Source organism: Homo sapiens, chromosome Y, assembly GCF_000001405.40.
Source record: "Homo sapiens chromosome Y, GRCh38.p14 Primary Assembly".
NCBI lineage: Eukaryota > Metazoa > Chordata > Mammalia > Primates > Hominidae > Homo > Homo sapiens.
The window spans coordinates 11,107,029-11,127,374 of NC_000024.10; the positions used below are offsets into that span (position 1 = coordinate 11,107,029).

At 40.6% G+C, this 20,346-nt stretch overlaps 1 pseudogene; it reads left to right on the forward strand.

Moving 5' to 3' along the window:
* Positions 1–1,107, forward strand: LOC107987335 (uncharacterized; annotated as a pseudogene).
* The last annotated feature ends 19,239 nt before the right edge of the window (positions 1,108–20,346 follow it).

Below are 20,346 nucleotides of genomic sequence, written 5' to 3' on the forward strand. Positions count from 1 at the left end.
CCACCAGGGTGACCCTCAGGTCTGGCGCTCACGCATTCCAGAAGCCACCCAGACCATGCTCCCCTGCCTGGGCGCCCAAGCTGCAGTCGCCCTCTGTGTGCAGGCAGCAGCTGCCTGGCAACCCCCGAGCCCACTCGCGCTCCCACCATCGCAGAACCAGGGCCAGGTGTCCCAGTGGCTGCGGCCAAGCCAGGCATTCTGCCCTGCGGCAGCAGCTGCACAGGAGCGAGAACTGAGAACCCACCGCTCAACCCCACATGGGGTGACTGCCGAGTGCCCATACAAACGGCTCTGATCTCCCTCAGGTGGAGGAGTGGGCGGGAGGCACGGCCTGGGGGGCCCTCAGCCTGGGCGCGCTGGGTAGATCCCAAGGCCAACCAGGCCACGCACCTCCAGCTCGCCTGGGCACCCGAGCTGCAGCCGCCTTCTGCGTGCAGGCAGCAGCCTCCAGGCAACTCCCGAGCCAGCCCACACTCCCCACATCTCGGATGCAGGGCCAAATGTCCCTGTGGCTGTGGCCAAGCCAGGCGGTCTGTCCTGCAGCAGCTGCACAGGGGCGGTAACCGGCCCTCAGCCCCATCCCCGGTGGCTGCAGAGGGCCCCTGGATAGAGATCTGGAGCTATGGCAGAGGAGGAGACGGGTGGGGGCAGGGTCTGGCAGGCTCTCAGCCCAGGGGTACCCGCGATCCAGAGGCCGCCCAGGGTATGCTCCACCAACTGGGTGCCCAGCTACAGGCGCCGGGCAACTCTCAAGCTGGCTGGCGGTCCCAGCCTCGCAGAACCGGGGCTAGATGTCGCCGTGGCTGCGACCAAGCCAGGCGGTCTGCCCGGGGGCGGCTGCACCGGGGCAGGAACCGACCCTCAGCCCCATCCCCGGTGGCTGCAGACGGCCCCTGGGGTGGCCCCGATCTCTCTTCGGAGGAGAAGAGGGGCGGGAGTCACGGCCAGGCGGGCCCTCAGGCAGGAAGGGATGCGCGCCTGCGATTCCGGGACGTCCCGCGCCAGCCCAGGAGAACCCGCAAGCCAGCGGCGCCTGTTTCTCTGTGTGATTCTTTGAGGAACCACTAAACTGATTTCCACAGCAAGTGCATCATTTTCTATTCCTAGCAGCCAGTTCATGAGGGCTCCAGTTTCTCCACCTCCTTAGCAACATTGATTTTCTGTGTCGTTGTTACGAAAGCCTTACTAGTGGATGCAAAGTGGCATCTCATTTGGGTTTTGTCTTGCATTTTATTAATGAATAACGGTGTTTAGCATCTTTTCTTGTCCTTCTTAGACATTTGTGTATCTTCTTTGGTGAAATGTCTATTCAAGTCCTTTGCCTATTTTTTAATTGGGATCTTAGAAATTCTGTTGTTGAGTTGTGGGATATTAAGCTTTTATCAGATTCACACTTTGATTTTATCAGATACATATATTCTCACATATTATGGGTTGTCTTTTCACTCCCTTGATAGTATCCTTTGATGCATAAAGGGTTTTTATTTTGATTAAATCTAATTTTCGTGTATTTTCTTTTGTTATCTGTGCTTTTCTGTCATATTTCAAAATACACTTAAAACTGAAAGGTCATAAAGGTTTACCGTGTGCTTTCTTCTAAGAGTTACATATTTTTAGTCCTTACATTTAAGTCTTTTATTAATTTAGAATTAATTTTTGTATATACTGCAAGGTAGGGGTCTAACTTCTCTCTTGTGCACTGACATCCAGCTGTTGAAGAGACTGTTCTTTCCTCCCTTGACTAGATTTGGCCACCTTGTTGAACAGTCACCTTGTTGAACAGACTAACTTGTAGGATCTCAAATCTATTCTATTGTATTTGTCTGAAAGTCTATTGGTCTTATTCCAGTACCATACTCTCTTGATTACTGTAGATTTGTAGTAGGCTGTGAAACTGAAAAAATGTGAGTTTTCCAATGTTCTTTTTCAAGACTGTTTTGTCTGTGAGATCCTTTGAATTTTTGTATGATTTTAGAATGAGTTTCTTTGTTTCTGCAAAAATGCCTTTGGGAGTTTGATGGTATTGCATTGAATCTGTAGATTACTTTAGATGGTATTGTCATCTTAACAATATTGTCTTACAACCCGTGAACACAGAATGTCTTTCCACTTATTTCCACTCTCTTTAGTTTTTTTCAGCAAAGTTTTTGTATACCACCACGGTTAGATTTATGCCTGAATAACGTATTCTTTGATGTCATTATAAATGGAATTTTTAAAATGTTTTCATAGTTCTTTACAACTATATAGGAATATAGCTCATTTGCCTATGTTTGTTTGCATCCTGCCTCTTTTATTAGTTATAATCCATTTTGTGTTTTGTTTGGAGCTTTGTACCCATAAGATCATGTGTAGATATAATTTTACACCTATTTTTTATTTCCAATTTAGATGCCTTTTATTTCTTTGTCTTGCCTAATTGCTCTGGCTAGAACTGCCAGTGCTACGTTGAATACAAGTGGCAAATGCACTATCCTTTTCTTCTAGATGTTAGAAAAACAGCTTTCAGTGTTTCATCATTGATCATGATATTAACTGTTGGGTTTTTGTACATCCCATTGTCATGTTGCAGAAGATCCCTTCTATGCTTAGTTTATTGAGTATTTTTATTATAGAAGGGTGTTGTATTTCATCAATGTTTTCTCTGCATCAATTGAAATCATCACGTGCTTATTCATTTTACTTTTACAGCATATTACACTGATTGATTTTTTATATGTTGAACCACCCTTGCATTTTGGGGATAAATCTCAAAGGGTGATAGTTTACAATCCTTTGATTATACGGTATTGCTGCTAGTATTTTGCTAGTATTGCTAGTATTTTGCTGAGATTTTTGCTTATATATTCATAAGGGATATAGTGCTGTATTTCTCTTGTGCTCTCTTTGTCTTTGGTATGAGGATAATGCTGTTATCAAAAAATGAATTAACAAGTATTCCTTCTTCATATATTTTGTCAGAAGAGTTTGAGAAGAAATGGTATTAATTATTCTTTAAATGTTAGGTTGACTCACCACTTAATGCAGCTATTTGGTCACAAATGTTTCTTTGTTAATCGCTTTCGATTACTAATTCAATCTCCTAGGTTATAGGTCTGTTCAGATTTTCTCTTTCTTCTTGAGCCACTTTGGTAGTTTGTGTCTTTCTAGCGATTCATCCATTTCATCCAGGGCACTTAATTTGTTGCTAGACAGTTGTTCACAGTATACTCCTGTAATCCTTTTGTATTTCTGTAAAGTTGGTTGTAATGGCTCTGCTTTCATTTATTATTTTAATAATTAGTCTTCCATCTTTTGCTCAGTCAATATAGTGAAAGGCTTGATCTTTCAAAGAATCCACATTTTTTCATTCTACTGCTCTCCAATCTTCTATTTTATTGATTTATGCTCTAATTATGTTCTTTATTATTTCTTTCCTTCTGCTAGCTTTGGATTTAGTCTTCCACCTGAATTTATTTTGGGAGTGATATTGTTGTAACTTCATGGAAATAATACTAGATAGAAAGTTAGCAGATGGATTCTCTATCTGATGAGAGTTTTGGGCAAATCGAATACCAAGTTGCCAAGTTTTTTTTCTCTGACGCAAAAAACAATTTAGCAGCCGGTGAGAAACTCTCACAGCTCTGGATGTGAGTTTAGGACACTGCATTTCTACCATTCAATTTCTTACTAGTTTTTTGCACAGGGATCATGGCACAAGTTGCAGTTTCCACCCTGCCCATGGAAGATGAGGAGTCCATGGAAGATGAGGAGTCCATTGAAGATGAGGAGTCTGTTGAAGATGATTCCGTGGAAAGCAGGATGGTGGTGACATTGCTCATATCAGCTATCGAGTCCACGGTGAGACCTTCTGTTCTAACATGATATAATTGGGTAGAACTGCGTGGTAGATAAGGTTGATTTGTTTTTGTAGAACTTATAATTTTATGATTTGTAGTTCTAATGAGTAGATCTTTTTCTGGAATGGTAGTTATGGTCAAACACTTCTAACAAAATGTGCCATGTTGTCCAGCCTGGTCTCAAAATATGGGGCTCAAGAGACCTGCTCACCTTGGCCTCCCAAAATACTGGGATTACAGGTGTAAGACCCTGAATCTGGCCAGATATTTTTCTTTTTATGGCTGAATAATACTCTGTGTATGTATATGTTACATTTTCTTTATCTATTCACCTACTGATGGGCATTAGGTTTGGGCGACCTTTTGGCCACTGTGAATAATGCTGCTGTTAATCGGGTGTACAAACACCTGTTTGAGTCCCTGCTCTCAGTTCCTTTGGGTATATATGCTTAAAGGGTGTTGATGGATCATATAATTCTGTGCTTCATATTTTTAAGGAGCTGCTAAACCATTTTCCACAGTGGGCTGTACCATTTTACGTTCCAAAAAGCAATGCATACAGCTTCCAATTTCTCTATAGCATTGCTGACAGTTAATATTTTCTGTTTATGTATTGTATTTTTAGAGTGTTTGAAATTAATCTGAGGCTTTTTGCTGATACCAAAATATTAGGAAAGGTTATCCAAAAATAATACTGCTTATTATAAGGGATTTTACGTGTTACTTGATGCTCTGTGATCTGTTTTCTAAGTAAGAAGAGGAACTTCTTGGCTGGGCACAGCGGCTCATGCCTGTAATCCTAGCACTTTGGGAGGCTGAGGCAGGTCGATCACAAGGTCAGGAGTTCAAGACCAGCCTGGCCAACATAATGAAACCCAGTCTCCACTCAAAAAAAAAAAAAAAATTAGCTGGGTGTGGTGGTGGGGGGGTGCCTCTAATCCCAGTATTCGGAAGGCTGAGGCAGAGAATTGATTAAACCCATAAGGTAGAGGTTACAGTGACTGAGATTGCACCACTGCACCCCAGTCTGTGTGACAGAGCGAGAGTCCATCTCAAAAAAAAAAAGGAAAGAAAGAAAGAAGAGGAACTTCTCTCCACCCAGCCTCATTCCACTGCACCAACTCTTCTCTGTCGGGTTGTGCAGGGGAGAAAGGGAGCTTGGCACCTCTTTGCTGTGTTGAATTGTGGTAGCCCATCACTGGGTTGTAAAGTTCCTTGCCTCCTTTCCTCCCCCCCTTTTTTTGAGACAGAGTCTCACTGTGTCGTCCAGGCTCAGGTGAAGTGCTGTGATGTCTGCTCCCTGCAAGCTCAGCCTCCTGGTTTCAAGTGATTCTCCTGCCTCAGCCTCCCAAGAAGCTGGGACTACAGGCACATGCCACCACACCTGGCTAACATTTTTTTATTTTTAGTAGAGATAGGGTATCACCATGTTGGGAGGCTGGTCTTGAGCTCCTGACTTCAGGTGATCCACCCACCTTGGCCTCCCAAAGTGCTGGGGTTAAAGGCATGAGACACTGAGTTCATCCACCTCCTCTTTTACTTGGGAGAAATGCACAGATTCTGGGTGCATGTGCATTTGTTTTGGGAGTGATAATTGATCTAACTTATGGAAATAATACTAGATAGTTAGCGGATGGATTCTGTATCTGATGAGAGTTTTGGGCAAAACGAATTCCTAGTTTCTGAGTCTTATTTTTCCCCTGATTCAAGAAAACTGTGAATTATCCAGCTGGTAAAAAACTCTCACAGCTCTGGATGTGAGTTTAGGACACTGGATTTCTACCACTCATTTTCTTACTACTTTTCTTGTGCAAGGATCATGGCAGAAGTTGCAGTTTCCACCCTGCCCATTGAAGATGAGGAGTCTGTTGAAGATGAGGAGTCCTTGGAGAGCAGGATGGTGGTGACATTCCTGTCAGCTCTCGACTCCATGGTCAGACCTTCTGTTCTAACATTCTGTAGTTCGGTAGGACTGGGCGGTAGATAAGGTTGATTTGTTTTTGTAGAACTTACAATTTTGTGATTTTTAGTTCGAAAGAATAGACCTTTGTCATGAACACCTCTGACCAAATGTGTGTGTGGAATTTCTACACTGATTTTTGGACAATCTGGATCCCAACTGGGTATCCCACAATTCCATCCTGACACTCCCTGCAGTTAGTGCAGACCCCGCAGGATGGGGACTCAGTCCCAGGAATCTACCCTCACTCCACATGCCAATTGAAAGTCTTGGGTTGTTACATGTAGTTTTGACCAACCAGTTAGAAAACACGGTTTCTTGACCCCCATTGGTGGGTGGAATCATTTGCTCGGACAGCTTGCAGAAATTAGAAAAACAGATTGTTTTCTTTTTTTTTTTCTGAGATACAGAGTCTCAGTCTGTTGCCAGGCTGGAATGCAGTGGTGTGATCAAAGCATACTGTAGCATGGGACTCCTGGGCTCAAGTGATCCTCCCACCTCAGCCTCCCAAAGAGCTGAGATTATAGGCCTGTACCAGTGTATCTGGCTATGTTCTTTTACTTTTTGTAGAGATGGGGTCTTGTTATGTTGCCCAGGCTGGTCTCAAATTTCTGGGCTCACATGATCCTCCCACCTCAACTTCACAATATGCTGGGATTATAGGCATGAACCACTGCATCTCACCAATTTACTTTATTTTACTGGTTCATTTTAAAGGCTAAATCTCAGAAACAGCCAGTGAAAGAGATGTACATGCTGGGCACAATGGCTCATGCCTGTAATTTCAGCACATTGGGAGACTGAGGTGGGAGCATCGCTTAAGTGCTCAGGAGATTAAGACCAGCCTGGGTAACATGGTGAAAATCCATCTCTACAAAAAGATTTTTCTAAAAATTAGCCAGGCACAGTTATCTATAGTTCTAGCTACTCAGTGCCTATAATTCTGGCTACTCAGGAGGCTGAGGTGAGAGGATGAGAGGATGGGGCTTGAGCTAGGGAGGCATAGGTCACAGTGAGCCACGATTGTGCCATGGCACTCTAGGCTGGGAGACAGAGCCAGACACTGTCTCAAAAAAAACAAAAACAAAAACAAAAAACACACAGGGCAAGGTATGTTGAGAGGGGTACAGAACTTCCATGTCCTCTATTGTGCATGTTACCTTCCTGGTATCTCCCTTGTGTTCAGCAACCCAGACATTCTCCAACTCCAGTTGTTGAGGGCGCTTATGAACGCTTCATTATGCAGGCATGATTGATGAAGTCATTGACCATTGGTGATTAAGTCAGTCTTCGGCCACTATTTCTTCCTGGAGCCCAGTGGGTGAGGCTGACAGTTCCAAGCCTCTAATCACATGGTTTGTTCTTCTGACAACTACCAGCCCTTTTTCTGAAGCTGTCTAGGAGCTTTCAGTCACCCAGTCATCTCAGTAACATCACCAAATCCATTCTTACTATGGTGATCCCAAAGGTATTAAAGGCTCCTGTGTTAGAAACCTGCGACTAAGACCAAATATTGAAACAGAAGATGCCCCATCACCTTCATCACCAAGGCCTTTATAAGAACTTGAGAAGCTCTGTGCCAGGATGAGGGGCAGAAACCAAATGTGTATTTCTTTTCTTTTTCTTTTGAACACAGAGTCTCTGTTTCACCCAATCTGGAGTGCAATGATGGAGTTGTAGCTAACTGCAGCTTCAACCACCTGGGCTCAAGCAATTCTCCCACCTCAGCCTTCCAAGCATCTGGGACTACAGGTGCACACCATCCATGCCCAGCTAATTTTTGTATTTTTTTTTTGTAGAGATGGGAGCTTGTTATATTGCCGAGGCTGGTCTTGAACTCTGGGGCTAAAGCGATCCTTTCACCACAACCTCTCAAGTAGCTGAAACTACAGATGCATACTACCATGCCCAGCTAATTTTTTCTTATTTCTTTTTGTTGTTTAATTGAGGGGGTCTCACTGTGTTTCCCAGGCTGGTCCCGAAGTTTTGGCCTCAAGCATTTCTCCTGCTTTGACCTCCTAAACTGTTGGGATTATGGTTGTGAGCCACGGCCTCTGTGTCCAGCAATCACAAGAGGTCTTTATAAGTGAAAGAGGGAGGTAAGAGAGTCGGAATTGAAGGAGATTTGATGATGGAAGCACAGGTCACAGAGGGAGATTCGAATATGCTTTGCTTCTGGCTTTGAAGATGCAGTTAGGGGCCATGAGCCAAAGAATAGGGGTGGCTTTAGCAACTGGGAAAAGCAAGGGAACACATTCTCTCCAGAACCTCCAGAAGGGATGCAGTCCTGCTGACACCTTGACTTTAGCCTTAATAGACCTATTTTGGACTTCTGGCCCCCAGACCTGTTAGGTAGTAGATTTGTGGTGTATTAAGCCACTAAATGTAGGGTACTTTGCAACAGCAGCAAGAAGAAATGAACATGAAGCCAGGGGTGGTGGCCCACACCTATAATTCCAGCTATTTAGGAGGCTGAAGCAGGATGGTTGATTTGGCCCAGGGGTTCAAGATAAGCCTGGGCAACAAAGTGATACCCTGTCTACATGGAAAAGAATTAGTGGCTGTGGTGGTATGCACTTGTAGTCTTAGCTACTAGAGGCACTGAGGCAGGACGATTTCTTGACCTAGGAGCTCCAGGTCTCAGTGCATTGTGATCATGCCATTGCACCCCAGTCTGAGTGACACAGCGAGATTGTATCTTAAAAAAAAAAAAGAAAAAAGAAATGAGTGAGCATGGCAGGAATAGGAACAGATAGCAATATTAAATAGAGTGGTCAGGGTTGGCCTCCTAAGTGAAAATTGAGCAAAGACTTGAAGGAGGGGAAGGAGCTGGCCAAGGTACTGAGGGAAGGGCATTGTAGGCAGAAACAACAGAATAAAGATGCGAAGAGGGAACTCCGTGGTGTGTCTGAAGCTCAGGAAAGAGGCCTGTGGAGCAGAGAGAGGGAGAGAAGTAGGGAAGGAGGCCAGGGAGTTGTTGGGTGCAGATCAGTACAGATTGTGTAAGCCCTGGGAGGCTATTGCTGGGGCTTTGGCTTTTATTCTGTCTGAGATGGGAGATGCGGAAGGGTTCTGAGCAGAGAGGTGACACAAATTGTCTACTGATTTAAAACCATCCCATGGTGGCTGAGTTGAGAAAGATTGTGGGAAGATTTGGGTAGAAGCAGGGAGGCCAAGCTATGGCAACCTCCAGGTGGGAGATGATAGTGGTTTTGACCAGGGTCCTGGCAATGGTGAGAGATGGTTGATTCTTGCTGAAATACTAAGTAATTAAAAAAAAAAAACAACACTACGGCTTTTCCCAGTTATATGAATATGGGATGCTGATTAAAGAAATCTTAAGTCGGGCCAGGTGCAGTGGTTTATGCCTGTAGCATCAGCTCTTTGGGAGGCAGAGATGAGAGAATTGTTTGAGTCGAGGAGTTTGAGTCCACCCTGTGCAACATAGCAAGACCTCCTCTCTATGCAAATAAAAATTAATAAAATGTAATTATCCAAGCATAGTGGTATTTTCCTGTACAACCAGTTACTCAGGTTGTTGAAGTGGGCAGATCTCTTGAGAGAGGGAGTTTGAGGCCAGCTTGGGCAACATAGCAAGGCTCCTCTTTCTACAAAAAAATAAATAAATAAATAAATAAATAAATATTAGCTGGGTGTTTTGGTGATCATCTGTGGTCATAGCTATGGTGAGGCTGAGGCAGGAGGATCTCCGGAGCCCAGGAGGTCAAGGCTGCAGTTAGGTATGAGTGCACCCCTGCATTGCAGCCAGAGTGACAGAGTGAGACCCGGTCTCAGAATACAGATACAAGTAAAGAAATCTCAACTCAGAGCAGTCTGTTTGTCACTATGCAGCCTTTGCAACCCCATAGCTGCGCGATTGGATTTGTGTTGCTGGAGGTGAGGAGACCTGTGCCCAGGTGTTGTTGCCTGTCTAATCAGTTTATTTTAAAATATATTAATGAAATTTATTTCATCATACTTTATGGTCTCATACCTGAGTGGTTTTTTGAATTCTCCTTTGAATAGCTTGTAACTATTCAAACCTCTTATTGGTTCTATAATTAATTCTTTTTCTAATTAGCTTTTTAAAAATCAGAATTGATATTAGACTAATCAGTTGTTAATGAGGAGATGAAATTGAGTTGTTTGTACACTTTATCTAAGATAGTGTCATATTGGCTAACTCAAATCAATAGTTGAGTAAATGCAGAATTAGAGCTTCTTCAGCGTGGAATTCTCTTGTGGTTCTTGAAGATGCCATTTCTTTTTTCTTTTTTTTTTTTTGAGACGGCATCTTCCTCTGTCACCAGGCTCGAGTGCAGTGGCACAATCTCAATTCACAGCAACTTCTGCCTCCCGGGTTCAAGCATTTCTCTTGCCTCAGCCTCTGAAGTAGCTGGGACTACAGGCACATGTCACCATGCCCGGCTAAGCTTTGTATTTTCTGTAGATGTGGGGTTTCAGCATGTTGGCCAGGCTGGTCTTGAACTCCTGACCTTGTGATCCACTGGCCTTGGACTCCTAAAGTGCTGGGATTACAGGCGTGAGCCACCACGCCTGGACTCTTTTTTCAGTCTTTAATAAACTGCTGCCATCATTTCAGACCACTTGCTATTTTAGGCAGTTAGAAATTTTTCACTGGAATTCATGTAAAGAAAGACCATGGGTGTTTGTACTGGATTTAGGATTCATCATTCGACTGCATGACTCTCCCCTAGCCCCACAATTTTACTAATGAATTTTTCAGATACTACTCAGCTGGCCACTGAACCTAACCAGCAACCCACCCTCAAGCATTCAGTGGTCTTTTGTTCTCTGTTCCTCCTGAATGTTGATTACTCTCAGAAGGTGATAAAAACTTGGATTTCTTTTTTTTTTCTTTCTAGAGACAGGGTCTTATTCTGTCACCCAGGCTGCAGTACGGTGGCGTGATCATGGTTCACTGCAGCCTGAAACCCTGGACTCAAACAGTCCTCCCACCTCAGCCTCCCAAGTAGCAGGGACTACATACATTTGCCCCTATGCCCAGCTAACTTCTTTACTTTTTATTGTACAGACAGAAACTTGCTGTGTTGTTCAGGATGTTGTCAGACTCCTGGCCTCAAGTGATCATTCTGCCTCAGCTTTCCAAAGTGCTTGGATTATACGTAGGTGGGAGCCACCTGTGTTCAATGCCCATTTTCTTTTTCTTTCTTTCTTTTGGAGATGGACTCTCTCTCTGTCACGCAGGCTGGAATGCAGTGGCGTGATCTCGGCTGACTGCAACCTCCACCTCCCTGGTTCAAGCAACTCCCCTGCCTCAGCCTCCCAACTAACTGGAATTACAGGCACATGTCACCAGTCTCAGCTAATATTTTTGTATTTTTAGTAGAGACAGGGTTTCATTATGTTGGCCAGACTGATCTCGAACTCCTGAAATCAGGCAATCCACCCACCTTGGCCTCCCAGTGTGCTGAGATCAGAGGCGTGAGTCACCACGCCATGCCCAGCCATTTTTAAAATAATAACGTTATTGAAATATGATTAACGTATCATGCAATTCATTTATCAAAGTACACAATTCAGGCCAGGTGCAGTGGCTAGTTCCTATAACGCTAAGACTTTGGGCAGCTGAGGCAGGTGGATCGCTTGTGTTCAGGAGTTTGCGACTAGCCTGGGCAACATGGCAAAACAACATCTCTAGCAAAAATACAAAAATTAGCTGGGTGTGGTGGCTCATGCCTGTAGTCCCAGCTACTTGGGGACATGAGACTGGAAGATCACTTGAGACCAGAAGCCATAGGTTGCAGTGAGACCAGATGGCACCACTGCACTACAGCATGGGTGACAAAAGGATACCCTGTCTTTAAATAACTAAAGAAAAAAAGAAAGTATACAATTGAGTGGTTTTTAGAATATTCAAGGAGCTGTGCATCCATCACCACAGTCTTTCTTAGAAGTGATTACCCACTTATGAGTTACCCATTTATGAGTGAGAAACCCTCACCTCTTAGCCACTACCTCCTACATCCCCCATGTTCATAGGCAACCACTGATTTATTTTCTGTCATTGTAGTTTTGCCTAATCTGGACCTTTTATAGAAATAGAATTGTATAATGTGTGATCTTTTGTAGTTTCCTTTTTTTTTCTCTTAGCAGAATGTTTTCAAATTTCTTTCATGTTATAGTGTTATCAGGATTTCTTTCCTTTTACAGCTGAGTAATAGTTTATGTTTATCCATTCATTAGTTGATGGACATTTGTGTTGTTTTTGCGTATTCACCATCATGAGTCAGGCTGCTATGAACATTCGTATGTAAGTTTTAGTGGGAACATATATTTTTATTTCTCTTGGATTTACACTCAGGAGTGAAATTGTTGCATTATGTGATTATTATACATTTAGTCTTTGAGAAACTGCCACGTTGTTTTTCAAAGTGGTTACACTGGTCAGGCACAGTGGCTCACACCTTTAATCTCAGGTATTTGAGACGCTGAGTTTGGAGGATTTTCTTAGCTCGGGAGTTAAGGACAAGCCTGGGAAACATAGGGAAACAATGTCTTGATTTTTTAAAAAAATCAAATGCCAGGAGAACACCCAAATTGATTACACCATTTTATGTTCCCACCAGTAATATATGTGAGTTCCAATTATTCCAATTGTCACCAACTTTTTTTTTTTGAGACAAAATCTTGCTCTGTTGCCCAGGCTGGAGTGCAGTGACATGAACATGGCCAGTGCAGCTGTGACCTTCCAGGCACAAGTGATCCTCTCACCTCAGCCTCCTAAGTAGCTGGGACTTACAGGTGCATGCTATCATGTGCAGCTGATTTTTACAGTTTTTGGTAGAAATGGGGTTCTGTCATGTAGCCCAGGTTTGTGTCAAACCCCTGAGCTCAAGTGATCTGCCTGCTTCAGCTTCCAGAAGTGCTGAGATTACAGTTGTGTGCCACCACACACGACTCGTGTAACCACTTTGGAAAGGAGCCACTGAGCTTGGCCTTCACCAGTATGTCAATATTTGTTAATATCGTTTTATTGTTTACAATTTTTCCATTTTTAAAAACTTATTCTTTTACCTGTATTATTGATTATAATAAACAATGAATAATTTTGTAGTAGAGTTGAGTCCCCCCAAAAAGTATTTATTGTTTAACTGAAGTAGTTTTTTTTAAACCTGGATATATATTTTTTCATTTTCACTCTATTTTTAGTGTTTATTTTTAAAAATTATTTATATGTATTTTTATTTTAATAGGTGTTTGAGAAACAGGTGGTGTTTGCTTCCATGAATAAGTTCTTCAGTGTTGATTTCTGAAATGTAGTACCCCTCATTACTCATTAAATTATATATTAAGTCATTATAAAATCATTAATAAACCAAGGACTTTAGTAAAATGGGAATTTTATTTTAACTTGCAACCTGGGACGTAACTGTCAAAAAAATTAGAGAAATTACCACATTAAGGTTTTAAAATCTTGAACTGAAAAATGAAAACCTTGGTGCACCTAAGAACCACCAGCCCACTGGTTAAGGTGAACAAAACTAAATGAAAAAATAAAACCAAGAAAACCAAACTCAGGATTATTAGGTATTCTGTAATGCTATTTTATCTTTGGACTCACAGAAAATAGTTATTATTAATATTACTATTATTATTATTATTATTTTGATATGGAGCCTCACTCTGTCACCCAGGCTGGAGTGCAGTGGCACAATCTTGGCTCACTGCAACCTCTGCCTCTTGGGTTCAAGTGATTCTCCTGCCTCAGCCTTCAGAGTAGTTGGGATTACAGGCAGGTTCCACCATGCCTGGCTAACTTGTATTTTTGGTAGAGACAGGGTTTCACCATCTTGGCCAGGCTGGTCTGAAACTCCTGATCTCAAGCAATCTGCCGACCTCAGCCTCCCAAAGTGCTGGAATTACAGGCCTGAGCCACTGTGCTCAGCTGAAAATAGTTAATTTTATGTATATTCCATGTCAGAATACATCTTATTTTTGAATATTTGATGACTTTAGGATACTATATTAACTCTTAATTGAATTAATACAAGTTTAGGTGTAAAGATGATGTTTATGTTGACAAAAATTATTAATGTTTTACATATATGAAAGTAACAATATCATATATTTTTCATACTTGTAGAATACTTTGAAATCTATTATTAGCTAATATTTTATATTCATTTTGGGTTTTCACATTATTGTTAGATCCAGAGAAAAGTAACATTTTGTGAATACTCAAATCATAAACATTTTGCTGGATTCATTCATAGAGACTTTATTTAAAAAGTGCACTAATTGAAGTTTTACATCATTTTATGGTTCATCAAACACAGCAACTGAATACTGTCATATAGCAACATTACAGATGTTAGTCTAACATAAAACTCATAATACATTTTAAAAAGGGTAAAAGGAAGGGAAGGAAAAAGGATACAAGGCTGTAGAAAGATTTTAAAAACAAACGTCATATGAGCCTTTGCCTGGAGTTTCATATTTTGTGAAAAGCAGTTTGTAAGTAGAGGATTCGTAAGTGCACCTGGTACATGGCAGTGGCACAGACACAGCAGATAGTCAATAAAATGATCTTTAACTTCTGATCTAGGTTATTTTTGTTGTTGTTCATGTATTAACCTGTGAAACTCAGCCAATAGATGGAGTGGCATTGACCTGTACGACTTCCAAGATCCCATCCAAACTTAGTGTGCTCTGAAGTTCTCCATAATTTATTGTCTGTTCCAACCAACATTCAGCATAAGCTACAGCTTATATTGTTAATAATCCTTCTATGTTTATGTGCTGATTTGCAAATAAGTGGGCCTATATAGTCTTTATCTAGTGTTGGATTGGGGTCAAAAGTTTTATGAAATCATTGTTTTTAGTATACGTACAGATGGATAATTGTATAAATAAGTACAGATGTGTATAAATGTGTGAGTATACATACATACATTTTCTAGCTCCTCTAACAAAAGGGCCTAGAAACAACATCATCCCAGTAACAATGAGAGCACCATTCTCCAATTAAAGGAACCAAGGCTCCTTGGGGACATATTTGATATCAGGATTGGGCAGGGAAAATACAAGATTAGTTTGAAATATTTTGTCATGTTAGAAAGAAAGGAAACGCTCACAAAATGGGGAAAATGTGAAAAGGAAACAGAATCCACTTTGAATAAACTTCCATGGCCAAATTTGAGAAAATTGGGGCAATAAAATAAATAACAATAATAATATATTACAATCTACAGAAGAAAATTTTCAATTAATCCAGGCCGGGTGCGGTGGCTCATGCCTGTATTCCCAGCACTTTGGGAGGCCGAGGCGGGCAGATCACTTGAAGTCAGGAGTTCAAGACCAGCCTGACCAATGTGGTGAATCCCTGTCTCTACTAAAAATACAAAAATTAGCCAGGCATGGTGGCACATGCCTGTAGTCCCAGCTACTCGGGAGGCTGAGGCAGGAGAATGGCTTGAATCCTGGAAGGTGGAAGTGCAGTGAGCGGAAATCGCACCATTGCACACCAGCCTGGATGACAAAGCAAGACTCCATCTCAAAAAAAAAGTAATAATCCATATTGACATAAATAATAAACCAAAGGTTGAGAATGGGCAGTATTTTATTACAGTAAGATTTCATTAAATGTAGGAGACATAAAATACAAGAATCATCACTTTGCAAATATCATAGTAATAATTGTTGCAAGAAAGAACCTTGGAGTGATGCTAAGATTAGTGGTGAATATATGTTGGGAAAGAACATTTTTGCATAATATGAAAGTATCTTCCCACAAGATAATTATAGAATAGTAACTTCAAAGTGGAGATGTCAACTTAGCCAAGTGATCAAAGTTAACATTACTAATAATAAGATAAATGAACTTCATGCAACTTCTTATATGATGCACTGAGTAGGACAAAACATCAATTCTATGGTATTCTTAGACAAAATGTATAACTTTAGTCCTAATCGTGAGAAAACATCAGACTAACTGAAATTGAGGAGGGACAATTTACAAAATAACTGCCAGTATTCTTCAAAAGCATTTTAGAAAGACTGAGGAATTCGCCAGAGACATGGAGACATGTCAACTAAGTGCAATGGAGAACATGCGTTGTATCATGAACCAGAGATGGACAACAGTAGGATATATACAATAACACCCCAACATTTGAACATTAAACAAAATGCTTCAGAAAAACCCATTGGTCAAGAAAAGTTTCACACACAAAAAAAAGTTTAAACTGAAAGAAAATTTTTTAAAAACTTAATAAAATGTGGGATGCAGATAAATCCTTTCTTAAAGGTACATTTATAGATGTAATATATTGAAAATAAAAGGCTTCAATCAATGACCTTTAGGTTCTTTTTTAAGAGGCTAAAAAAATGAGCAAAGTATATCCAAATTAAGAAGAAGGAAGATGATAAAGATAAAAATGTAAACCAACAACATAGCAAATAACAAAAGGTGGAGCTAATTAATATACCCACAAATTGGTTCTTTGAAAAAAATTTTTTAATAAACAATGGCTAGCAAGATTTATCTTGAAAAAAATTAGAGAAGCTACATAATGTAGATAATGGGAATTAAATAGAGGATGTAACTACAGAACCTACAGACATCAATATAATTATGAAAACTTTAGGCCAATACATTTGACAATTAAAATAACTGGGAAATTATTTGTAAAACTAATTCTTAAAACTGATGCAAAATGAAATAGAAAAAGTAATAGCTTCTCTATGTATTGAAGAATTTTTTTAATTTAAAAAGATTTCTATAATTACAGTCTACATGGTTTCTTAGGTGAATTCTATCAAACATTTAAGAAAGTACAGAGAGTCCTCAACTTACGGTGGTTTGACTTGTGCTCTTCTGACTTGATAATGGTGCTTTCATCTGTGTACATTAATGATGAGCATCAATATGACCAGTTTTTCACTATCAGTATAGTTTTCAATAAATTTCATGAGATACTCAATATTTTAAAATGGGCCTTGTGGTACATGATTTTGCCCAATTGTAGGATAATGTAAATGTTCTGAGCAAGTTTAAGGTAGGCGAGGTTAAGTCATGATATTCAGTAGGTTAAATATATTAAATGCATTTTAGACTTACAATATTTTCAATTTAGGATGAGTTCATTAAGACATAAGACCATTGTAAGTTGAGGAGTATCTATAATATCAATCTTGAACAGACTCTTTTTAAGAAATAGAATTTAAGGGCTGGGCACAGTGGCTCACACCTGTAATCCCAGCACTTTGGGAGGCCAAGACGGGCAGATCACCTGGGGTCAGGAGTTTGAGACCAACCTGGCCAGCATGGAGAAACCCCCGTCTCTACTAAAAGTACAAAATTAGCAGGGCATGGTGGCGCTTGCCTGTAATCCCAGCTCCTCGGAAGCCAGAGGCAGGAGAATAGCTTGAATCTGGGAGGCAGAGGTTGTGGAGAGCCGAAATTGTGCCATTGCACTCCAGCCTGGGCAACAAGAGTGAATCTCCGTCTCAAAAAAAAAAAAAAAAAAAAAAAAAAGAATCTAAAGGGACACTTCCTATCTTATTTTATGAACCCAGTATTGCCCTGATTCCAAATCGAGACAAAGGCTTTATTCAACTTTGATGTTTATCCCTCATAAACATAGACTCAAAAGTCCTTAAAACATAATAACCAATTGAATGTAGCAGTACATAGAATGGATAATAAACTGAACAAATTAAATTTCTAGCAAGATTGCAAGTTTAATTTATTATTTGAAAGATCAGTTTAATCAATTTTATTCACCTGGATGGTTACATCTGGCAAAACTCAGCAAACTGTGCACTTTAAAATAGGAATATTTATTTTATGTAAATTATGTTTGAATACAATTGATTTTTTTAAAAAAATGTTTCCCAGAGTGATCAAAGTGGACGGCAGGGAACAGTAAACATCAGTGCTTATGTTATAGCTACTAGAAGCCTCCCAATTCCAACGACATGTTTTCAAGCAGGTCTGATCCTTCCCCTGGAGGATACCTCTGACCCAGGTGTGCTACAAATGCATTGCCCATAGTTGCTTCTGTCACCTTAGTGATGGAAGTGACAAGAGGGTACTGGAGAAAGAAAAGGTGTACAGGGTTCCAAATGTACTTTCTCTTTCCAAAGGACCTTTGTGAAGCCAGAGGAAAGAGAACAAACAAGCTGCTAAATAAGTCACAAGTGTGTACTCCTACAGTTTTGCGATTAACTAAATAGGACATTCAACAGATAAAGTTTGTTTTACATAGTTACTCCTCTGATAGGATGAACTTGTGGATTGTGAGATAGGGCTGATATAACCTGTTTTCTCTCTGCCTCTTTTTTTTCCCCCAAGTTTTGTGTGCAATACATTAGGAAAAATATAATTGGGCTATAAAGCTACAAAAATGTCTTCCTGGCAGTTCCATGCTTGTTTCCATGTGGTGCCTATGTTTGGCATTGTGTTCTCATTTGCACTTTCCTACTTGATTAGTTAATGTATGAAGGACAAGCCTGATCTCTACTGTGAATTTCTACCAAGATATTCTGGTAGAAAAATGAGTATGTAATGGTGCTGTGGAATGCTAAAGTGTGCAAAACATTAAGAATCTAAAAATATGCTCATTTCCAAGTTTTGTCCCAGAGCAACTGTGCACTCTATATCGCTACTGCTATTTAAAGTTATCCATTTGCATGTCTAAAAAATAGATTCATACTGATTGTCCCATTTGATCTCAAAAAACTCCTGAATGTGAGAGTCGTGATCAAGGGACGCTTCATGAAATGTTCCAAAGTTAAAGTGTGCAATGAAACCAGATTTATCATAGCTTTATTTAAAATAATTATTTCTAAAATTGTTGTTGTTTAATTATAAACTGTATCCTTTCAGGATACTTGGAAGATCCATAGCAGTGTTTTTATTTTCACAGAACAAGCATAAATTATTTATGAAATAATAACTCAGATACAGAGATTACTTCCTATTGGCCTTACATATGAATATAAATAAATACATATTATGAACATGCACATACTTATTTTATAATTATGTAAATGTGTGTGTAATGTTATATATAAGTTCAATAAAGTCATGCTTATACATGGTTTCAATTCATGCTTCTAAAAACCACTCAATGTAGTCATTATCATATGTTAATAAATAATCTCTGAAAATGTGCTTCTAGTAGTTGCACAATATCCCATCATAAAGATTGTCATGCTGTTTTTAAGTCATACTTTTGGGTATATAAGTTATATCTGATATTTTTCTGCTACATATATGCTATTATAAATCTATTAGTAGTTGATTTTCTGTGAACACATATGATTGTTTCCTCACAACAGTACAAGAGTTGGTTGTAACTTTATTTCCTTCCAACATTTATTTTAGGTTCAGCGGGTACATGTGCAGGTTTATTATATGGATAAAATGTGTGTCAATGGGATTTGGTGTACAGATTATGTAGTCATCCAGGTAGTGAGCGTAGTATCTAATAGGGAGTTTTTTTATCCTCACTCTCCCCCCACCCTCCACCCACAGTAGACCTTGTGTCTATTGTTCCCTTCTTTGTGTCCATGTGGACTCAATGTTTAGCCCCCACTTATAAGTGAGAACATGCAGTGTTTGTTTGGTTTTCTGTTCCTGCATTAATTCACTTAGAATAATGGTATCCAGCTCCATTCATGTTGCTGCAAAATACATTATTTCATCCTATTTTATAGGTGTGTAGTATTCCATGGTGTATGTACACTGCATTTTTTTAATCCAGTCTTCTGTTAACAGGCATCTAAGTTGATTCCGTGTCTTTGCTATCGTGAATAGTGTTATAATGAAAATATGCGTGCATATGTCTATGACAGAATGATTTATATTCCTTTGGGTATATACCCAGTGATGGGATTGCTGGGTTGAATGGTAGTTCTGTTTTAAGTTATTTCAGAAATCTCCAAACTGCTTTCCACAATGGCTGAACAAATTTACATTCCTGATGAAACTGGAGAGTTCCCTGACTCCCCTTGGCAGGATGTGCAACAGGGGTGTGGCTTGTCTGCCCACTATGTGTGCTGTCAAACCCCTTATTGGGCAGGGGAACATGCAAACAGGCAGGTGCAATAGGCAGGGCAAGTGGCCATGGTACTGTCTAGGGGTGGGTGCCTGCGACTCCCACAGCCCAAGTGGGCATGTGTTACAGTGCACTCTTTTAGCTTTGCCATCCACAGGCGGCTTAAATGTTAACCTGTTCAGTGCCCTCTTGGTACCCAGTTCCTTGTCCAGCATCCAGAAGGAATTAAGTTGCACACAGACTTGAGGATGGTGAATGTGGGGGTTTTATTGAGTGGTGGAGGTGGCACTCAATGGGATGGATGGGGAGCTGGAAAGGGGATGGAATAGAAGATGATCTTCCCTGGGAGCTTTGCCATCCGGAGGCTGATCTCTCCAACCACTGCCAGCCAAACTCCTCTTGGCATTCAGATGCTCCTTCTCTTCTTTCTGCCACATCATTCTGCAATTCTGCTCTTCTGTTCATCTCCTCATCTGCTTGTCTGCTTCTGGAGCCTGGG